General features: G+C 39.7%; 1 protein-coding gene across 30 annotated transcripts in view, besides 1 other annotated feature; it reads left to right on the forward strand.

Annotated features, from left to right (window-relative positions):
• The window catches only part of ACOXL (acyl-CoA oxidase like), a 385976-nt gene that overhangs the window by 163333 nt on the left and 198346 nt on the right, over positions 1-24297 (forward strand). For 26 of the 30 annotated variants that reach the window (NM_001437600.1, XM_011511414.4, NM_001142807.4 and 23 more), the window contains one exon: positions 12884-13000. The exons of the other annotated variants lie outside the window; for them this stretch is intronic. In NM_001437600.1, coding sequence (NP_001424529.1) covers positions 12884-13000 — 117 coding nt within the window. The remainder of the gene's footprint in view (positions 1-12883; positions 13001-24297) is intronic. 30 annotated transcript variants of the gene reach the window in all.
• Positions 7532-8032: an enhancer, noted in NCBI's record as "H3K4me1 hESC enhancer chr2:111661014-111661514 (GRCh37/hg19 assembly coordinates)". NCBI's record gives its function as "activates a minimal SCP1, AML or CMV promoter by ChIP-STARR-seq in primed H9 embryonic stem cells {active_cell/tissue: H9 hESC(primed)}" and the evidence as "EXISTENCE:reporter gene assay evidence [ECO:0000049][PMID:30033119]".

Raw genomic sequence — 24297 nt, forward strand, 5'->3', positions numbered from 1 at the left:
AACAATAAAAGAAAGAACCTTGGAACCACAAAATTCTATAGTAAGCAAAACAAACAAAAAACACACAAATACAATAGACTTTCCATCTCCTCTTGAGTTCTCTAAATTATGTTTGGCAGTAAGCAAAAGTTAATACACTGCCTGATGTGGTTCTAAATTAATAGAAGAAATATTTAAGACAATTATACACAGGGGAAAGAAACGAGATATAAAAGAGTTAAGTTTTCTGTACTTGGTTTGAACTGGTAAAATTCTGCCCCAAGTAGGCTGTAATGAGTTATGTATATAACATTGTAATAGTTAGAGCAACCAGGAAAAAAACCTATACAAAGAGATATACTCACAAACACTATAGGTGCATCAAAATGGAATTTTAGAAAATATTCAAGTAACCTAAAGAAAGGCAAGAAAAATAAAACAGAAATGAAAAACAGAGAAAACATTTTAAAAAGTCGGACTTAAGCCCTAACATATCAATAATTACATTAAATGTAAATGGTCAAATAATTCAGTTAAAAAATAGAGCTTGACAAAGTGTATTTAAAAACGTAACTGAACTCTATGCTGTCTATAAGAAACTCACTTCAAATGTAACAATATAGGCAGGTTAAATGTCAAAGAATGAAAAAAGACATATCGTGCAAAGATTTGCCAAAAAAAGAAGGAGTGGCTACTTAAATTTCATATAAAGTAGACTTTGGGGAAAAGTAAATTTTCAGAGATAATAAAAGGACTTTCAGTAATGATTAAAAGGGTCAATCCATCAAGAAGATACAGTAATCTTAAATGTCTATGTAAAACACAGCACAGCCTGCAAAATACGTGAAGTGAAAACTAACAGAACTGAAAGGACTATAGACCAATCTACAGTTGTAGTAGGAGACTTCAACAGTCCTTTCTCAACAATTGATGGAACTAGGCAGAAAGTCAGCATGAATATAGAAAAACTCAACAATACTATCAGCCAATAGGATCTAATTGACATTTATAGAACACTTCGTCCACCAAAAGTAGAGTACACCTTCTTTTAAAGTGCTTACCTAACATTACCAAGATACACCATATCTTATCCAGAAAAAAAAAACTGCAACAAATTTTTAAAAATTGAAGTCATACAGAGTGAGTTCTCTGACCATGATGTATTCAAACTAGAACTTTGTAACAAAGATAACAGGAAAACTCGCCATCACTTCCTAAATAAACAACACAATTCTAAATAACTAATAGTAAAAAGAGGAACTCTCAGGAAAATTTTTAAAAAATATGTTGAACTAGATGGAACTGAAAATATATATCAAAAATTGTAGGGCACAGCTAAAGCAGTGCTGAGAGGAAAATTTTGTAACACTAAATGTGCTAAATGCATATATTAGAAATGAGGAAAAGTCTCAAATCAATATCTAAGCTCTCACTTAAAGAATGGTCTTTTTAGTCCATTTTGTGCTGTTATAACAATACCACAGAAATTTATTTCTTATAGTTCTGGAGACTGGGAAGTCCAGGATCAAGGCCCTGGCATCTTTTAAGGGCCCTCCTGCTATGTCCTCTAAAGAACAAGAATGCTGAGTCCTCACATGGCAGAAGGCAGAAGAGCAAGAGAGGTCAAAATAGAGTGCACTCCTCTCATCAATCCCTTTACAACAGCATTAGCCTATTATGAGGGCCGAGCCCTTATGACCTAAACACCTCTCGTTAGGCCTCACCTCCCAACACTGTTGCATTGGGGATTACATTTCCAACACATGAATTTTGGGGGTACATATTCAAACTATAGCAAGAACCTAGAAAAAGAAGAACAAAATACGTGGAAAGGAAGCAAAAAGAATAAAGTAATAAAGACAAGCGCAGAAATCAATGAAATGGAAAACAGAACAATAGAGAATATCAGTGAACAAAGAAATGGTCCTTTGAAAAGATTAATAAAATTGACAAACGTTTTGACAGTGAGACTGTCAAAGAAAAAAGAGACTACACAAATTACTAACATCAGGAATGATACAGGGGATATTATTGTAGACACTGAGAACATCAAAAGAATAATAAGAGAATACTAGGAACAACTCTGTAAACATAAAATTGAAAACTTAGAGTAAAGAATAAATTCGTTAAAAAACCCACAAAATATCACAACTCCCCCAATGTGTAAGATAATTTGAATAACCTTTTAACTGCTAAGGAAATTGAACTCATGATTTTAAAACTCCTAAGAAAATCTCCAGGCCAGATGTTTTCACTGGAAAATCCTGAATGTTTCCAGAAGAATTATTAATAGCAACAGTCTATACAACTCTTTTAGAAAACAGAAGCAGAAAGAACACTTTCCAAGTCATTTTTTTTGAAAGTTAGCCATATACTGATCCCGGAACCAAATAAAGAAAATATAATAAAAGGAGAATGCAGGACAATATTCTTCATGAATATAGATACAAAAAATTTTAGCAAAATATTAGGAAATGGAATTTAGCAATATAAAAAAACTATATATCACAGCCAAGTGTGATTTATTCCAGAGATGGAATGCTGGTTTAATATTTAAAAACCAGTCAATTTGATCTACCATATTAACATGCTAAAGAAGAAAAATCTCATAATCATTTTAATGGATACAGAAAAAAGTGTTTGAAAAATTCAGTATACATTCATGTGAAAACACTCATTCAAGGAAGACTAAAGAGGAACATCCTCAACTGAATAAAGAGCACCTACGAAAATTGTACAGCCAACATTACACGTTATGGTAAAGGACTGAATTATTTCCCTTTAAAATCAGGAGTAAGGCAACGATGTCTGCTCTTGCTACTGCTATTCAGTGTAGTGCTGGAAGTTGTAGCCAGTGCAATAGGCAAGAAAAGGAAATGAAAAGCATATAGATTGGAAAAGGAGTAATAAAACTGTTTCTATATTCAGATGACATGCTTATTTATGTAGAAAACCCCAAGATATCTACAAAAAAATCCTAGAACTAAGAGATGAATTCAGCAAAGTCATAGGGTGCAAAAATAAACATGCAAAAATCAATTATATTTGTATATACCGGTGATGAACATAAGGGTATCAGAATTAAAAATATAATATAATTTATAATTGCTCAAAAAGTTGAGAACTTAGGTGAAAATTTAATAAAAGCATGTGTAAGACTCCTGAGAACAACACAACACTGATGAAAGAAATCAAAGATCTAAATAAATGGAGAGACATACCATGTTTATGGATTGAAAGATTCTGCTGTTGTTTTAAGAGCCTATGGGCACCCTTTACCTTTGAGACTGTGGATTGAGAGGGGAAGTGGAGGCTTCAGCTCTTAAGCTGCTCGGGCAATTTCCATTGCCAAGAGCAGTCTAAGGTCAACTTGGAGCATTAAGAAATGGATGCACACTCTGAAGTGCATTTGATTACCTATTGACTCATGATGTTCAACCTCAGTGACGGGAACCTGGAGAATGTTGGGGTTCTGCATTTATCTCCTTGCTCACACATGGTGGTCAGACTTGCTACCTCCAAGATGACAGCAGGTTCTGGATGGCTTTTGGGGCAGACAGGATGGACAGAGACTCTGCATCTGCCATGAAATGGAAGGGAAAGAGGAGAGAAGGCCTGGATCCAGAGAGGATTGGCCCTCTTTCTTCCTTACTTTTATGGCCAAGGTGCTGGGGCTTCTGCAAGATCTCTGCAGTGGTGCTGATGACGGAAGGTGTTTCTTCATGCAATTTTTTAAAATATGAAATTAATACAACAGTGAAATAATTAGCTCACCCCAGGCAGCCTCAGCTATAATTTATGGCTCCATGTCTCCCATTTTAACTTTGTTTTGCATTCATTAGTATACAATTTTAAAAAAAATCTCAAGGAATCACAGTTCTGACGACTAACATTAACCACTCTGTCACTCACAGATATTGCTAAGGCTATCATTCTGAAAAGTAAATTAATTTCCCTTGGGTGAGAACTGTCTGAAAAACATTCAGGCTCCTCTCTAGGGTCGGCTGATTGACTCTGGAAAGAACTCGCGGCTTCTATGGCAACGCATTGTGCTAGGAGGCCCTGTCCACACCACTTTCCTAGGTTTTTGTTTTGTCCACCCTGTCTCTACATGGAATTTGGGAAGAAGAAAATTGGCTGGTGTTTTGGGGAACATAAAAGGTGCAGGTGCTGTTAGAAAGCTTTTCAACACACACACACATACACACACACACACACACACACACACACACACACACACACACACTTCTTCTAAAAAAGTCAGTGGACTTAGCTTGTTTTCTTCCCTCTCAGCAATCTCATTATCTTTAATTTAAGGTCGAGTAGAAGAGACTTTAACCCTGAAGCTCTTTTTACAACAGTTTTAGTGATGCAGAGTAAGTTAGTGCTTTGTTTGGGAAAAAGAAACAAAAAGAGTGCTTTTTGGGGAAAATTTAAAATGGCTTTCCTAGATCAAGGATGAGCAGCATCGCAGGTAATTTTAGAGACTCCAGAGTTAATGGTAATGACTCTAATGATGAAGCCTTCTATGCCTTGAACACCTGCTACATGTCAGGCATCACTTAGTCCTCATGCTCATTATCAGCCCCAGTTAATGGTTGAGGAACCTGAGGCTCAGAGGGTTTCTGTTACTTGCCCAAGATAACACACTGGCAGGTGTTAGAGTCTGTGTGCAAACCAGGTGTGTCTGATCCAAAGCCTGAATTTCTAACCATTCTATCTTGTGCTGGTGATGCAGGTGGGGATATGATGTTGACTTGGTCCCAGGATGGTCTCCTACAGGCAGCATGAGTCACTAGAGAGGACAAGAACAGACTCAGTACAAAGGCAGCCAGGTTCCTTGGTGTTTATTTTAAGTAGGTTTGAACCATAGCGTGATGGGTTAGACCCACTTTTGTTTGTGTAATTGAACCCTCAAACAAAGAATCTGAAATTGGCCAATATCAGATCCAGGGTGACCCTACTGGTCCTTGTCAGTCAGGGTTATAACACTGGCTAGAAATGACCCACTCAATGGAAATACAGAGCCAGGGCTGCAGGTTTATCCTGGGTGGTGTTGTCTCCTATCTGAGGGGCTTCTGTGGTCTCCACGGGGGTCATCCCTCAGCTTGTGGGAGGAGGCAGCCTGATCCTAATCCTGTACGGATCTGCAGCCTGCTCCATTCAGCATTGCTTTTGCAGTGTTAATAGATGGGGTAGACAGTCTTTGCAGTCTCCAGCAGCAGAGTGTCAGCCCCTGCTGGATACTTGGCCACAACTTTAAATCCATGGCACTTGTTGGGGAGGGTGTTTATGTTCCCCAGGTTTTTGATCTGGCATGAACTTTGAGAAAGGAAAAGAATAATTGGCAAGGGCTTTTTCTCTGAAGAGCTACACTCTCTGGCCAAGGAAATCTGAGCTTTAGTGTCTGTGTTTGCAGGTTTGGGGGTGCTCTCACTGCTCTGTATGTAGACTATGTGACATTGACACCAGAGCCACAGACTCTCATCTCTTTCCATATCTGAAATATTCCCGTGTTTAAAAATTGCCATTGTCATTGAACTCTTCACCACCATTGAGAATCATGTATTCTATTCTGGGGTGGTTGGATTGATAGACTGTTGAGGGTTGGGAGGAAAAGAGGTGATGAGAAGGTGGAAAAGTTATTTGTTGAGTTTTCTCAAGGATCTGAAGGGCACTTTGAGAACTCTTTCCTGGGGCCATTTTGTGTATTTAATCACAGTCAAGTCTACTATCAAAGAAGCATATATCTCTACGCCACACACACACACACACACACACACACACACATATACACTCACTTACACACACACAGGCTTCTTCCATCTCCTCTACAGATGGATTGAAAGTTGCCCATTGGGTGGTGTGTGGTGGCTCACACCTGTAATCCTAGCACTTTTGGAGGCCGAGGTGGGTGGATCACTTGAAACCAGGAGTTCAAGACCAGCCTAGCTAATATGGTGAAACCCCATCTCTACTAAAAATACAAAAAATTAGGCAGGTGTGGTGGCATGCACCTGTAATCCCAGTTACTCAAGAGGCTGAGGGAGGAGAATTGCTTGAACCCGGGAGGCAGAGGTTGCAGTGAGCCAAGATTGTGCCATTGTGCCACTGCACTCCAGCCTGGATGACAGAGTACGATTCTGTCAAAAAAAAAAAGAAAAATGGAAAAAGAAAAAATTGCCCATGGGAATGACAGGTAAAACACAGAGGATGTTATATGTTAAGCTGATGTTTCAGTGTAGGATTGCTCAGGCCCAAAGGGCAAACCATTACATGTTCAACTTAAAAAAACAAAAAACAGGGCTGGGCACAGTGGCTACACCTGTAATCCCACCACTTTGGGAGGCCCAGGTGGGCAGATCACTTGAAGCCAGGAGTTTGAGACCAGCCTGGACAACGTGATGAAACCCAGTCTCTACTAAAATTACAAAAATTAGTCAGGCGTGGTGGTGCAGGCCTGTAGTCCCAACTGCTCGAGAGGCTGAGGCAGGAGAATCTCTTGAACCCAGGAGATGGAGGTTGCCATGTGCTGAGATTGTACCACTATACTCCAGCCTGGGCAACAGAGTGAGACTCTGCCTCAAAAGCAAACAAACAAAAAAGGAAGAACAAGAAACAAAACAAAAAAGCAGCAGGAATTGTGTGCAGCGAGGTCCCTTCCATGATCCCAAGGTGGAGGGTGGGATCACCTGGTGTTGGAGGTGGTGAGGCTTAGGGCTGAAGATCAGGGTGTCTGACTCTCACACATTCTTACTGATAATAAGAAGCCAGATGTTTACATCCTGGCTGGCCAGCTGGGCCAAATCTTCCAAGTTCAACTGGTGGCATTAAAAATATCCTACTTTGTAAAATATTTGCCCTCTGAGTTTGTATGTCTAGGAGTGCCCCAGAGAAGGGGGAGAAACAGGACAGATGGGCTGTGGACTCTGTGAGAGGTTGGAGGGTTTCTGTGGGAGCCACTGGGAATGGGGTGCAGTGGTCCAGCTGCCAGGCACTTACAAGCTCTCTTGAATCCTGCCTGTGGTCAGGTTATTAATGAAGGAAGGTGGCCACAAAGGAAGGTGGCCTGAGCCCAGGAAGGAACTGAGCTTTTATCTACAGAGGTCAGCACCTTGACGGTGGAGGAGGTTTTGTTCCTCCTTCTTCTGGTTGCAGGGATACCTGCAAACAAGTTTGCACCCTAAGAAGTCTCAGAGTCCAGGGTGAGGCTTAGCCCCAAAGCTCCTCTCCTTTGAAGTTGACTGGTTGCAATGGTACTGCAGAGCAGGAAACATGGGAAGTAATTATCTTTTTAGTAGGTCACTGGCCTCCTTTGGGAGAAGAGACCAGAGGGAGAGGGGAGAAGGCGAATGGCGCGGCCCCCCCAGAGGCTGCGCCTGCAGTAGCTGCCTTGGTGATTAATAGCCATGTCACATCCGACGAATATTGCCTTAAGCAGCCGCGTTCAAAATTGAGTGGGAATGAAATAAAACAACCCAAAATAAATGTTTCCTCTATTCCTTAGGAGTTGCTGGAATCTAGAAATAGCTTTTCAAATCTATAATTTTAAATGGCATCATTCACAGCACTCTGCGAGCCCGGCTTTATTCTCACATGGATATCGCTGTGCGCACAAGCACCACTTTTTGATTTTAAAGACCATGAAAAATTTGAGCTAAGTGACTTTTTTTTGGTATTGAAATAAAAATTATATTTACAGAGAGAAATATAGCCTTTGTATGTGTTTTTAAAGGAAAATAGTAACCCAGTGGAGGAAAAGGATGGGAAGAATATTGTGTCCACATAGATCATAAACTGGAACAATAAAAATGTCTGGCAGGCGGTAATTGCTGGCCAGCTGCAGGGATTACAGCCCTGTGAGCTGTGTTCAGGGCCCTGTGCCAGGATGCTGGCAACCAGAGTCCAGGCCTGGACTGTCATGGCCCTTGGTGAGGCCAATGGGGCCTGAGAGCATAAATAAGAGGGTGACCACAGCATGGCAGGGCAGGGTCTCTCACGGGCCAGGCCCTCTGGGGACCCTAAGTCTTGAGGCCCTCGGTCTCTGCTACCTCTGCTGTTGCCAGGCTGCCTGCATGGGGCTGATGGTGGCAGTCACAGGGCTGACCTCTTGCTGCATCTTTGGGTGGGAGAAGCTTCAGTAGCCCTCAGTGTCATTCCTCCTTGGAGAAGCCAGAGAGCACATCTGATGGGTGGTGAGAAGTGAGAGTAAACTCCCTGCTCAGTGCTTGGGGATTGTCAGGGTCTTGGGCCAGAGGGAGGGAAAGAAAGAGTTGGGTGGTGCCTACTCTTCTGCCCACCCACTTGTTTCCCTCTGGCCCCTGGCAGGAAAGCCTGTGGTGGAATGGGCTATTGGGCATAGGGGAGGCTCCTTCCTTTCATTTCATCTTCTATCCCTGTCCTAACTGCCCTGGCTCCCAGCCAGCACACCAGTGTCTGAGAATTGAATTTTGTTCAGAGCATCTAATGACAAGCAAACGTTCCAAGGAGAAGCAGGGAAGGGTGGGTGGAGGGGTTGCTGTGGAGCTGCTGGGAGTTGGCAGGACATTCATCTGCCCTCCTGCCTCTGTCTTTCCTGGGTGCATATGTCAGGCCAGGCTGGGGCACCAGAAGACTGAGCGGGCCTTCCCTCAGTGGGCTGAGTCCAGTGACAGGTGCTGTTTTAAAATGTAGGTTGTATTATTACTCAGTATGGTGAGCTTGGCAGATCAGAAGAGGACAGCCATTGAAAGCATAGTTTGTTACTCACAGTTCCCAAGAGAAGGGGCACGCCATGCCACGCAGGGCCACACGGGGAAACAATAGCATTGGTTAGAAGGGAGAGGGCATGAAGGGAAAATGTGGGCAAGAGCCTTTATTGTGGTTTCCACAGGAAGAGATGGGCAGGGTTGGTAAGCAGGTTTAAGACTGGCTAGTATGGATAACTTCAGAAGGCTCTGAGGCATAGGATCTGTCTGTCCTGAGTTGTCTGGTACCTGGCCCTGGGGAGACTAGGTTAGGCCCTGAGTGGAAGAGACAGATAAAGGAAGCAGCGGGAATGGGGTCCTGAACTGATTCATTTGCATATGAAAAATGCACTCAAAGGGAGTCGTTTGCTGTCTTCAGCAATTAGCTGGCCCTGGGAGCCCCTGTCCCTCCAGGGTCAGTAAAGTCTCAGATGTCCAAGCATCAGAGGCACATGGTTAACACAGGTGCACATGACACCAGCTGGAAAGGGAAGGTGCTGGGCCTCGCAGGAGGGGCAACATGAAATGCTCAGGGCATTCCAGGGAAAAGCAACTTCCTGCTTTGGTTGGTTTGGTTCTGTTTAGTTTTGAAGGGGTGTGCCAAGGAGAAGGGGAGAATCAGAGAAGTCTCAATTTGGGGAGAGGGCATGTGGCTGAGCCACCAAAAATGAGTCCAATTAGACACTGGCAGTTAGGGGTGGGGTCAGCTGCAGGCAGAGAGCCCTGCTTGGACAGAGGTCCAGGATGGGAAGCATCTGAAGGGGCTTAGTGGGAGAAAAGGCTGGAACACTCAAGTCAAGCTATAGCGGACTCTTGAATGCCAAGCTGAGGCGTTTTTGGATTTTATTCCCTACAAGCTGGCCAGAGCCGTTTTGCTCCCTAGAAGTTCTTCCAGTAAATTCATAGACTCACATAGAATGTCTGTGCTTGGCTGTATATCACAGTTACAGAACATAATTAACAAATTAGGATGCTGATGCCAATTTATTCTGGATGGAATAAAAAATGCAATGTGGCTAAAAACTCAGTGCTCCCTGGGCCAGCAGGTAATGTCAGGGAGTGGAAAGGGCTCTGGCGTCCTCAGGGGATAGCCGTTTCCTGCCTGGAGGGTTGGGCTTCTGAGTTCCAGCAGATTGCATTATGGGAATAGAGTCCGGAGGTGCCAGATCTTCCTATTTTTAAAGAAAGTCTGGACATTTAGATTCTCGTGAACACTCTTGATTTTTGTGAAATTACCTGGGAACTCAGCAGTGGATTAGGAGAACATAACTCCTCTCTGTCAGCACAGGGAGAGGCACTGCGAGGCCTGCCACATGGAGCCTTGGTGGCCTCTTTCTGCTCTTCACCCATCACCCCAATTGTGGGGTCAAAGAGGAACTGTGAGGGTCAAAGAGGAAATGGCACCGCTACAAGGTGTGCCTCCATTGGGAAACTGAGGCACAACAGGTCGGGGTCAGATCTGGCATCCAAAGACCTTCTCTGAGGTCTCCAGTGGCCACTCTGCTTTGCTTTTTTTGCATTTCCTCATTTGTGAAATGAATTCATTCTTTCATTCATTAAATGAATATTGAGCTTATGGTGGCCAAGACAAAGAGTTCGCCATAGAAACAAATTTTGATGAGATGCTGTTTAAAATTGTACTATTGGCCAGGCGTGGTGGCTCACACTTGTAATCCCAGCACGTTGGGAGGCCGAGGCGGGTGGATCACCTGAGTTCAGGAATTCAAGACCAGCCTGGCCAACATGGTGAAACCCCGTCTCTACCAAAAATGCAAAAAATTAGCTGGGTGTGGTGGTGGGTGCCTGTAGTCCCAGCTACTCGGGAGGCTGAGGCAGAGAATTGCTAGAACCTGGGAGGCAGAGGTTGCACTGAGCCGAGATTGCGCCATTGCACTCCAGCCTGGACGACAGAGCAAGACTCTGTCTCAAAAAAAAAAAAAAAAAAATTGTATTATTATCGTACTTATTTTTCAGCCAAAAAAAAAAAAAAAAAACCAACCTAACAAACAACAACAACAACAAAAAAGAAAACTAAATGGTGTTGTGGTCAATCACTGCTTTTGCTGTCACTGTGTGGGTAAAATGTCCTCAAGTGAAGCTCTGGAGCATGGGGCCATGCCCAAGGCTCTCTCTGCACGTGCCGCCTTTTCTGGGTTTTCTCCATGTCCCAGGCTCTGGGCTCAGTGGCTGGGACTCAGCCTTCTTGACCTGGTAAATGTCCAGTGCCTAGCATGATGCTGGGCACAGGGCAGACACACAGATGTCCCCCAGTGGGGTGGATTGCATGTGGCCATTGTCTGGTTTTGGTAGGTAAGAGTCTAGCCACAACAACCATAGATAAAGCTACAGTAGAATCACAGCATGTAAAAATGGAAGTTAAGTGAGAGGAACACATGGAATTTGTAAAATGATTATGTTAATCAGCCTGGGCTGCTGTAACAAAATGCCATAGACTGGGCGGCTTAAGTAATAGAAATTTATTTCTCACAGTTCTGGAGACTGCAAGTCAAAAGTCAAGGCACTGACAGGTCTGGTGAGGGCGCTTTTCCTGGCCGGCAGATGGCTGACAGCCGCCACCTTGCTGTGTCCTCACATGGTCTTTCTCAGAGCATGGGTGTGGGGAGAGAGGGACCTTTCTCTTTTCTTTTTATAAGGCCACCAATTCTATCAGATAGGATCCTTACCACCTAATTTAATTGCCTCCTGAAAGCCCTATCTCCAAATAGTCACATTGGTTGTTAGGGCTTCAATATGTGAATTCTGGGGCGACACAGTTCAGTCCTTAGCAGTGACCTAACATCATGATGACACCACTACTGGCTTTGGGATTTTTTTTTGTTATTTTCACCGTGATCCAGCAAAAGCTGAGAGGTTTCCCTGTAGACTGACAGCCTTTTCATTTGGAGCCACGAGCCTGCTGTGGTTGGGCGTGAACTAGGATGGAGGGGCAGGCATGGATGAAGGGCGGGTTGGGGTGGTATTCTTGAAACAGTCATCTGTGGGGTGGTTAGACTGTGCCTGGGGGAAGTCTGTGCTCTTACAAAATGAGGCTGTACTCACGGTGCTTGCACGCGGCCTTCCTTGTGTGTGCTTATCATTTGTCCTCACCACCCACATGACAGCACCAGACTTATGAGATGCCTTAAACACTAAAAAGATTATGATGCCCTTCTTTCAATTACAAATAAACACAATATTTAAGTATAAGATTATGTTTAAGAAAGTCTTTATCAAATATAAGATTTTTAAAACAATTGCTTCTTCTCTTTGAGTGGTTGATGGATGTTCTCACCCCATTGGTGTGTGAAGCAAAGGTTTGCCCACCATGCTTGATAACATAGCACAATGTATGTGTGTGTGTGAGTGAAATGTTGTTCTTTCATAAACCAGCGTTAAACTCAGAGCTGTTCAAAGACAGCATGCTGCTGAATGTAGGATGTAGAGCATCAGGCTGCAAGGGGCAGAGGGTGACCTCTATGAAAAGCCTGGGCTCTTTGCAATCTACAACTATGAGATCCTGGGGGATTTGTCCCTGGGCATTGCCTGTGGGGACAATCCCACACCACTTTAAAAATTGTTCCAAGGAAAGCCTTTGTTCACCTGACATAGCAGCCTCAGAGTGCAACGCAGATGCTGTCTGCAGGGCACAGGGATTTAAGGTGGGATATGGAGAACACCTTTTCCACATAGAATTGCAGGGGGGTTTAGGTGGGCTAAAAGTAATGACCTACCTGTGAATCTGACAGGAGCACCAGGGTTAATGTCACCCTCCTTGTTGAGAATGTCCTTTTGAAATATGTTCTAGGGTATTGCTCCTGTCCTATTAATTATGTAACAAATTTAGCAAAGCTGAATAATTAATGATCATGGGGCACTTGGAACTATAAAATGTCATGTAAATGTTAAGGAGTAAAAATTACTCTGGTGTTAGATAGATGTGCTGCTTTAAAAATGTTCCACGCTGGGAAGGTTAACTTCTAGAAGAGCTGAAAAGCTTCCTGTTGGGCTTTCCTCAGAAACTTAGGCTGTCTTGCCCTAACCACATTTTAGGAAATTCAGATTTCTGCATTCTGGAGTCTTTGGAAGGCAAATGGCTAGCCAGCATTTTTAGCTCTGGAAATGAAGTTACCTCCCGCTCCTGGATTTTGGTAAAAATCGTGTCTGTTGATTCCCTCTAGCCGGAGGCAGTTTGGGCCCAAAACCAAGGAAGAGGTGAAGATCATTGAGCACCAAACACAGACCCTGCGGCTGATGCCCCACCTGGCCACAGCCTTGGCCCTGACCTTCGTCAGCAGGTGAGATGGCTCTCAGGGTTTGCTCTCTTAGGGTAAGTGTGATACCCTGGCATGAGTAAGAATTCAGAGCAGCAGGCACAGGATGTCATTTTCTAACTGTGATCAGGAAAGAGTCTGTTGTTAAAATCGGATGCCCAGGTTAAAAGCATCCTTGGATGCTTAAACCACTGCAAATGTTTTTAACCTGGACATCTGATTTTAAAGGATGCCAAGGTCCAAATCTTGATTGTCTCTATATTCAGATGAATGGAAGCCACAGAGACTTTGAGAAGGCAGGAGCCAATGTTTCTCCAGAGTTTTCAAAAGTAGCAGACTTGAACAGTTAAAAGTTCTTTATTTCTGATAAAGGTTCTAATTTACAGTAAAGTTTTCAAAAATACGTCCAGGTGTGTGTGTATTTGGTGGGGGTACAGGGGAGGCAGGGAGTGAGGAGCTTTGAATAAAACGTGTACCATAAGTACACCTGGAAATTCACATTCTACCACAGGCTTTCATTTCTGCCTCTCAGCTATTCCTCCCCAAGTGCTAGGCCATTGTCCAGCACTTGTGTGTCGTGTTATCATCATCCCCGCATTATAAAGATAAGAAACTTAAGATTTATCTCAGATCACAGAGCCTAGAAGTAGTGGACTGGGAGTGGAGCTCCAAACTCTGGGCCCTATTCTGTGTTCTTTCCTCCCTCCATAAGCAATTTTGCTTCTCAGTGTTAACTCCAGTCATTCATTTCTGAATAATTTAGAATTGGCTTATGTTTGAAATTTAACATGCTGATGGGGAAGCTAGTGCCAGGGTTTATAAAAGGATGGTAATCAGAGAGCCCTTGGCATATCTAGTGTGCTGCTGACTATGGATTGCCCAGGCGTCGCTGGCATGGCGGGGAGGGATTGGATGGGTGCACCTGTGTTCTTATTGTACACAAGACTGGCAAGTGGAATGCCAGTGTTCCAAGGTGCAAGGACACTGAACCCTGCAGGCTGAGCTGCAGGTAACAACAGTAAGATCCATCCATGCCACCTGGAAGAAAATTAAAAGCACTTGCTTCCACCGTCTCTTACCTAAAATGTTTCTGAATGGTTTTTTTGAGGTTTAATTTGCATACAGTGAAATGCATAGATTTTAGTTTTTAGTGGAGTGAGTTTTGACGCACATATACTCTTCTCGTGTAATAAACACTAAAACCAAATACAAAACATTTCCATCATCCCCAAAAGTTCCCTCTGGCCCCTTTGCAGTTGACCCTCACCTCTCCACCACAGCAGAGCCAGTTTTCTGATTTCTATTCCCAATAGCTTAGTTTTGCCTGTTCTTGAACTTGATGTAAATGGAATCATACCATATGTATTCTTTAGTGTCCAATTTATTTCATTCAACAGAAGGTCTTGATGTTCCTCAATGTTGTGGATAGTTTATTTTTATTGCTGAATAGTAACATGAAATGACTAAACTGCAATTAGTTTATCTCTTCTACTGATGGACATTTGAATTGTTTCCAGGCTGTAGTTACTATGAAAAAGGCAAAGTGAATATTCTTGTACAAGTGTTTCATTTTTCTTAGAATAAATACCTAGAGAGGACTTGCTGGATAATTAGGTAAATGTATTTTTAACTTTATAAGAAATTGCCAGTTTTTCAAAGAAGTGGTACTGTTTTACAGGCCCTCAAGCAACATGTGAGAGTTTCAGTTGTTCTTCATCCTGACCAACATTTGTTTCAGTTCTTTCTTAATCATATTCACACTAGTAGGCATGAAATGTTGTCACATTGCTGTTTAAATTTACACTTATCTGGTGGCTGTCGACATTGAGTACTTTTTCATGTGCACATTGGCCATTGTATATCTTCTCTGTGAAAGATCTATTTAAATCTCTTGCATATTTTTCTAAATTGACTTGTTTATCTTATTGTTATTGACTTATAAGAGTTTATTTATAACAAAAACAAGCACTTACTTATTTTAAATATTTTTGGTCAGTGTGGATTTTGCCTTTTTATTTTCTTAATAATGTTATTTGGGGGAGCAGAAAATTTTAATACTGCTTAAGTCTAATTTATCCTTTTCTTGTTTTATGATTATTGCTTTCTGTGTCTTTTCTAAGACATTGCTATAACTGTAACTTAATAGTAAGTCCTGAAATCAGGTGGTAGGTCTGACCTTACAGAAATAAAAAGGAATATAAGAGAATACTATGAACAATAGTATGCAACAAAATATACAAAACCTATATGAAATGGATGAAGTCCTAGAAGGAAACAAACTACCAAAATATAATAAAGAATACATAGAAAATTCTAATAAACCAATCACAGGATATTAGGTAAATAATTTTAAAACTTCCCACAATGAAAATCCCAGGCCTAAACAGCTTTAATAGTGAATTCCACCAAACATTTAAATAAGAATTAATATCAGTCCTCCACAAACTCTTCCAAAACATAGAAGAGGAAGGAACACTTCCCAACTTATCCCATGTGGCCAGTATTACTCAATACCAAAATAAGGCAAAGACATTAGAAGAAAACTATAGAGCAATATCACTTATGAATATAGAGGTAAAAACCCTTAACAAAATACTAGTAAACTTAATCCAGCAACATATAAAAAGGAGTATACACCATGACCAAGTGAGATTTATCCCAGGAATGCAAGGTTGGTTTAACATATCAAAAACAACATACTACACTGTGTTAATAGAATATGTGAAAAAAAACATGATCATCCCCATAGATGCAGAAAAAGTATTTGACAGAATCAAGTACCTTTTCATGATAAAAACGCTCAACAAACTAGGTATATAAGAAAACTTTCTTTACCCGATTAAAGTCATCTGTGAAAAACCCACAGTTAACATCATATGTAATGGTGAAAGATTGAATGCTCTCTCCCTAAGATTAGGAACAAAACAAGGATATCTAATTTTTCCATGTCTATTTAACATCATGTTGAGGTTCTAGTCAAGACAATTAGGCAAGGAAAATAATAAAAGTCATGTAAACTGGAGACGAAGAAGTAAGCTATCCCTATTTGCAGATGATGTGCCTTCATATATAGAAAATCTTACAGAATCCACTAAAAATTTATTAGAAATGACATGTTCAGCAAGACTGCAGGATAGATCAACAAATAAAAATCAATTGTATTTCTATAGACTAGCAATGAATAATCCAAAAATCAAAAAGAATAAAATACTTAAGGATAAATTTAACAAAGAAGTTAAAGAAGATGTGAATATATGGAATATATGTTCATGGATCAGAAGATGTAATGTTGTTAAGGTGACTATACTCCCTAAATTAATCTGTAGATATAAAGCAGTCTCTATCAAAATCCCAGAAACCTGATCTTTTTAGAAATTGACAAGCTGATCCTAAAATTTATGGAAATATAAAGGAACCAGTATAGCCACAACAATCTTGAGAAAGAGTAACAAAGTTGGAAGGCTCACATTTCTCAATTCAGAAACTTAATATGAAGCTGCAGTAATCAAGACAGTGTGGTACTGGCATTGGATAGATACACAGGTCAACAGAATTAAATCAAGAGACAGAAACACATCCCTAAATTTATGGCCAGTTTATTTTTTACAAAGATGCTAAGACAATTCAATGAAAGAAAGAATACTCTTTTCAATAAATGGTGCTAGGACAACTGGATATTGATATGCAAAAAATGAAGTTGGACCCCTATACAGCAGTTAACTTAAAATGGAGCATAAGCCTAAATTTAAGACCTAAAACAATAAATCTCTTAGAGGAAAACAGGAGCAAATCTTTGCAACTGTAGGTTAGGCAGTGGTTTCTTAGATAGAATACCAAAAGCACAATTACAAAAGAAAAAAGTGTATACATTGGACTTCATAAGAGGTAAAAGATTTTTTGTGCTTAAAAAGTCACCATCAAGAAAGTGAAAGACAATCCACAGAATAGGAGAAAGTATTTTCAAATTATATATCTGGTATATACATCTGGACTTGTATCTAGAACATACATGAATTCTTTCAATTCAACAATAAAATGACAAATAATCCAATTGAAAAATGGGCAAAGATCCAAAGACTTTCCTCCAAAGAAGATGTACAAATAACCAATAAGCACATGAAAAAGTTCTAAAAGTCATTATTTGTCAAGGAAGTACAAATCAAAACAGCAATCAGATAAAACTTCACACCCACTAGGATGGCTATAATGAAAAAGATGATAACAAGTGTTGACAAGTATGTGGTGAAATAGAAACCTCATACATTGCTGGTGGTAATGTAAAATGGTATAGTCGCTTTGGAAAACAGCTTGGCAGTTCTCCAAAATATTAAACATGAAATTGCCATATATCTCAGCGCTTCTACTCCTAGGTATATACCCCACAGAAATGAAAACATATATGCACACAAAAATGTGCACATGAGTGTTCTTAGTGACATTTTTTGTAATAATGAAAATGTGGAAAAAATCCAGATGTCCATAGATTGACAAATGGGTAAACAAAATATGGCACATTCACAAAGTGGAATATTATTTGGCAATGAAAAAGAATGAAGTACTGATACATGTTATAACATGGATAAACCTTGAAAACATTATGCTAAGTGAAAGGAGCTACTCGCAAAAATCATGTGGTATAATTCCATTGATATGAAATTTCCAGAATAGTCAGAGTGATAGAGATGGAAACTAAATCAGTGGTTGCCAGGGACTGAGGGGTAAAGGAGGTGTATTTAGGCCAGTCTTGCATTGCTCTGAAGAAATACCTGAGGCTGGGTAATTAATGAAGAAAAGAGGTTTAGTTGGCTCATAATTCTGCAGGCTATACAAGCATGGCACAGGCATCTACTCTGCTTCTGGGTAGGTCTCCGGGAGCTTTTATTCATGGCAGAAGGTGAAGTAGGAGGAGGCACATCACATGGCGAAAGCAGGAGCAAGAGAGAGTAGGATAGGTACCACACACTTGAAACAATTAGATTTTGTGAGAACTCAGTACAGTGAGGACACCACCAAGCCTGGAGGAATCCACCCCCGTGACCCAAATACCTCCCACCATGTCTCACCTCCAACATTGGGAATTACAATATGAGATGTGGAGGGGACATCCAAACTATATCAGGAGAAAATGAGGAGTGATTGCTAATAGGTATAGGCTTTCTCTTTTGGGTGATGAAAATATTCTAAAATTAGATGGCAATGGTTGCACAACTCCTTAAATATACTAGAAATCACTGAATTGTACACTTGAAAAATATGAATGCTGTGGTATGAGAAATATGTCTAATAAAGCTGTTGAGAAAGAGAGAGGAGGAAAAAAAAGAAATCAGGTTATGTGAGTCTTCTAAGTATTTTTTTTCCCCTCGAAATTGTCTTGCTATTCTAGAGTCTTTGCAAGTCTGTTTAGATTTATTTGTGATTGCATTGAATCTATAAAGCAATTTGGGCAGTATTGCATCTTTCAGATTAATGAAGATGATGTATCTCTTTGTTTATACAGGTGTTCAATTTATCTAAGTAATGTTTTATAATTTACAGTGTAGAAATCTTGCACATTTTTCACTAAATGTAGTCAAAAGGCATTGATTTTTAATTTAATTCCCAATTACTAATATTTTATAGAAATATAACTCATCATTGTGTACTGACCTGTATTATCACTAAATTTACTTATTAGTCATTTATTTGTAGACCATTTAGAATTTTCTACCTGCACAATAAATCAAATGTGAGTAAAGAGAGTTTTACTTATTTTTTCCAATATTTATTTCTTTTAATTTTTGTTTTGTTTTGATTTTGCCTTATTACACTGGACAAAACCTTCAGTACAATATTGAGTAGCAGTGGTGAGATGGACATCCTATATTGTTCTTGACTTCAGGTGAAAATGCGTTCAGTATTTCACCATTAACATGAATGTTCACTGCAGATTGTTATTGTCTTTCTTGTTTGTTTTAATTTTTGTGGGTATATAGTAGGTGTTACATAGTAGGTGTTACATTGCCGGTATTATATTTAAGGGGTACGTGAGATGTTTTAATGCAGACATGCAATTTGAAATAAGCACATCATAGAGAATAGAGTATCCATCCCCTCAAGCATTTATCCTTTGTGTTACAAACAATCCAATGACACTCTTTTAGTTATTTTAAAATGTACAATTAAGTTATTACTGACTATAGTCACCCTGTTTTGCTATTAAATAGTAGGTCTTATTCATTCTTTTTAACTATTTTTGTTGTTGTTGTTGATGCCCTTTATTAGACTGAGGAAATTCCCTTCAATTCCTAGTTGGCTGAGTGTTTTTTTCATGTATGTTCAATTTTGACACAATTTTTCTTTCTCTATTTAGATAGTCATGTGATTTTTCTCCTTCATTCTATTAAGAAATGAGTTACATTACTTTTCAAATTTTGAGCCAAATTTGCATTCTTTGAAATTTTTTGTTATATGCATTTTATATATATATATATGTGTGTGTGTGTGTGTGTGTGTGTGTGTGTATGTATGTGTGTGTGTGTGTATATACATATATATATATATATATATATTTTTTTTTTTTTGAGATGGAGTCTTGCTGTGTTGCCCAGGCTGGAGTGCAGTGGCACAATCTCGGCTCACTGCAACCTCTGCCTCCCAGGTTCAAGCAATTCTCCTGCTTCAGCCTCCTGAGCAACTGGGATTACAGGCAACTGCAACCACACCCAGCTAATTTTTTTTTGTATTTGTAGTAGAGATGGGTTTTCACCATGCTGGCCAGGCTGGTCTCAAACTCCTGACCTCAGGTGATCCACCCACTTCGGCCTCTCAAAGTGCTGGGATTACAGGCGTGAGCCACTGTACCTGGCCATATTATATATTTTTTATATTACTAGAGTTAATTGGCTAATGTTTTGATAAGGATTTTTTGTGTCTATGTTCATATGGAATATTGATTTTTAATTTTGGTGCTTGAAATTTCCTTGGAAGATTTTGATATCAGTGTTATATTGTCCTCATAAAAAAAATAGGAAAGTGATCTCTTCTCTATTTTTCTTAAGGAGTTTGTGTAAGATTGCTCTTATTTCTTCCTTAAATGCTTGATAGTATTTACTAAGATGGTATGGATATGGGTTTTTTGTTTTTTTATTGGAAAGTTTTTAATGACTTTATTAATTTCTTTAACAAATGTGAGTCTTCAGTCTTGCCAATTTTTTCTCCTGTTTTGTTACCCTGTATTTTTTGAGAAATTTGTTCACTTCTTCACTAATTTATAAACTATATGTGTTAATAATATTTCCTTATTATAATATTAATGACTGTAAGATCTGTGACAATGTCACTTCTTTTATTTGTAAAAGAAAACAATTTTTGTGGCTTCCTTTTTTTTTTCTTTTTCTCAGCCAATTTTGCTGGGTGTTTATCAGCTTAGTTAATCTTTTCAAATAACCTGCTGGGTAAATAATGAAATTAAGGCAGAAATAAATAAGTTCTTTGAAACCAATGAGAGCAAAGACACAATGTCCCAGAATCTCTGGGACACAGCTATAGCAATGTTTAGGGGGAAATTTATAGCACTAAATGCCCACAAGAGAAAGCAGGAAAGATCTAAAATCGACACACTAACATCACAATTAAAAGAAGTAGAGAAGCAAGAGCAGACAAACTCAAAAGCTAGCAGAAGGCAAGAAATAACTAAGATCGGAACAGAACTGAAGGAGATACAGACACGAAAAGCCTTTAAAAAATCAGTGAATCCAGGAGCTGGTTTTTTGAAAAAATTAACAAAATAGATAGACAGCTAGCCAGACTAATAAAGAAGAAAAGAAAAGAATCAAATAGACACAGTAAAAAATGATAAAGGGGATATCACCACTGATCCCACAGAAATACAAACTACCATCTGAGAATACTATAAACACCTCTACACAATTAAACTAGAAAATCTAGAAGAAATGGATAAATTCCTGGACACATACACCCTCCCAAGTCTAAACCAGGAAGAAGTCGAATCCCTGGATAGACCAATAACAAGTTCTGAAATTGAGGCAGTAATTAATAGCCTAGCAACCAAAAAAACCCAGGACCAGACAGATTCACAGCCAAATTCTACCAGAGGTACAAAGAGGCGCTGGTACCATTCCTTCTGAAACTATTCCAAAAAATAGAAGAAGAGGGAATCCTCCCTAACTCATTTTATGAGGCCAGCATCATCCTGATACCAAAACTTAGCAGAGACACAACAAATAAAGAAAATTCGAGGCCAATATCCCTGATGAACATCGATGGAAAAATCCTCGATAAAATACTGGCAAACCGAATCCAGCAGCACATCAAAAACCTTATCCATCACGATCAATTTGGCTTCATCCCTGGGATGCAAGGCTGGTTCAACATCAATCAATAAACATAATCCATCACATAAACCGAACCAATGACAAAAACCACATGATTATCTCAATAGATGCAGAAAAGACCTTTGACAAAATTCAACACCCCTACATGCTAAATACTCTCAATAAACTAGGTATCAGTGGAACATATCTCAAAAGAATAAGGGCTATCTATGACAAACCCACAGCCACTATCATACTGAATGGGCAAAAACTGGAAGCATTCCCTTTGAAAACCAGCACAAGACAAGGATGCCCTCTCTCACCACTCCTATTCAACATAGTATTGGGAGTTCTGGCCAGGGCCATCAGGCAAGAGAAAGAAATAAAGGGTATTCAAATAGGAAGAGAGGAAGTCAAATTGTCCCTGTTTGCAGATGACATGATTGTATATGTAGAAAACCCCATAGTCTCAGCCCAAAATCTCCTTAAGCGTATAAGCAACTTCAGCAAAGTCTCAGGATACAAAATCAATGTGCAAAAATCACAAGCATTCCTATACACCAATAATAGACAAACAGAGAACCAAATCATGAGTGAACTCCTATTCAAAATTGCTACAAAGAGAATAAAATACCTAGGAATCCAACTTACAAGGGATGTGAAGGACCTCTTCAAGGAGAACTACAAACTGCTGCTCAAGGAAATAAGAGAGGACACAATCAAATGGAAAAAACATTCCATGCTTATGTATAGGAAGAATCAATTTGTCGTGAAAATGGTCATACTGCCCAAAGTAGTTTATAGATTCAATGCTATCCCTATCAAGCTACCATTGACTTTCTTCACAGAATTAGAAAAAAACTACTTTAAATTTCATGTGGAACCAAAAAAGAGTCCGCATAGCCAAGACAATCCTAAGCGAAAAGAACAAAGCTGGAGGCATCACGCTACCTGACTTCAAACTATACTACAAGGCTACAGTAACCAAAATAGCATGGTACTGGTACCAAAACAAATATATAGACCAGTGGAACAGAACAGAGGCCTCAGAAATAACACCACACATCTACAGTCATCTGATCTTTGACAAACCTGACAAAAACAAGCAATAGGAAAAGGATTCCCTGTTTAATAAATGGTGTTGGGAAAAGTGGCTAGCCATATACAGAAAACTGAAACTGGACCCCTTCCTTACACCTTATGCAAAAATTAACTCAGGATGGATTAAAGACTTAAGACCTAAAACCATCAAAATCCTAGAAGACAACCTAGGCAATACCATTCAGGACATAGGCACAGGCAAAGGCTTCATGACTAAAACACCAAAAGCAATGGCAACAAAAGCCAAAATTGACAAATGGGATCTAATTAAACTAAAGAGCTTCTGCACAGCAAAAGAAACTATCATCAGAGTGAACAGGCAACCTATATAATGAGAGACAATTTTTGCATTCTATCCATCTGACAAAGGGCTAATATGCAGAATACAAAGAACTTAAACAAATTTAGAAGAAAAAAACAAACAGCCATATCAAAAAGTGGGTGAAGAATATGAACAGACACTTCTCAAAAGAAGACATTTATGCAGCCAACAAACATATGAAAAAAAACTTCATTATCACTGGTCATTAGAGAAATGCAAATCAAAACCACAATGAGATACCATCTCACGCCAGTTAGAATGGTGATCATTAAAATGTCAGAAAACAACAGATGGTGGAGAGGATGTGGAGAAATAGGAATGCTTTTACACTGTTGGTGGGAGTGTAAATTAGTTCAACCATTGTAGAAGACAGTGTGGCAATTCCTCAAGGATCTAGAACCAGAAATACCATTTGACCCAGCAATCCCATTACTGGGTATATACCCAAAGGATTATAAGTCATTCTACTATAAAGACACATGCACAGGTAGGTATGTTTGTTACAGCATGTTCACAATATCAAAGACTTGGAACCAATCCAAATGCCCATCAATGATAGACTAGATAAAGGAAATGTGGCACATATACACCACAGACTACTATGCAGCCATGAAAAAGGATGAGCTCTTGTCCTTTGCAGGGACATGGATGAAGCTGGAAACCATCATTCTCAGCAAACTAACACAGGAACAGAAAACCAAACACCACATGTTCTCGCTCATAAGTGGGAGCTGAACAATGAGAACACATGGACACAGGGAGGGGAACATCACACACCGGGGCCTGTTAGGGGGTGGGGGGGCAAGGGGAGGGATAGCATTAGGAGAAATACCTAATGTAGATGATGGGTTGATGGGTGCAGCAAAACACAATGGCACATGTATATTTGTGTAACAAACCTGCATATTCTGCAGATGTACCCCAGAACTTAAACTATAATAGTAAAAAAATAAAAATCACACTTTGTGTTGTATGGTTCTATAGGTTTTGACAAAGACACAGAGTTGTTCCATTCAGTATCAGACAAAATTGTCTACCACTTCAGTATCAAACAAAATTGTTCCACCTCCCACCAAATTCCCTTGTGCTGTCTCTTTTTAGTTAACTTCTTCCCACAGTCTTACCCCAGCAACCTGTATTTTACACCTATAGTTTTTCCTTTTCTAGAATGTCATACACACAGAATTGTAAAATATGTAGTCTTTTGGATATACCTTCTTTCACTTAACAAAATGAATTTCAGATTCATCCATGTCATTGTGTGAGTCAATATTTTCCTACTTTTTATTGCTGAGTAGTATTCGTAGTATTCCATTGTATAGATGTACCACAGGCTGTTTATCCATTTAACTAGGGAGGAACATGTAGGTTGTTTCTAGTTTTTACAATTATAAATAACTACTAAAAACTATTCTCAACAAGTTTTTGTGTGAATATAAGGTTTTGATTGACTAGGGCAAATACTTGTAAGTAGGACTGGTAGGTCAAGTGGTAAGTGTATGTTTAACTTTATAAGAAATTGCTAACGTGTTTTCCAAAGTGGTTGTATCATTTTGTGTTTTCATCAGTGATGTATAAGGGTGCAG

Source organism: Homo sapiens, chromosome 2, assembly GCF_000001405.40.
Source record: "Homo sapiens chromosome 2, GRCh38.p14 Primary Assembly".
NCBI lineage: Eukaryota > Metazoa > Chordata > Mammalia > Primates > Hominidae > Homo > Homo sapiens.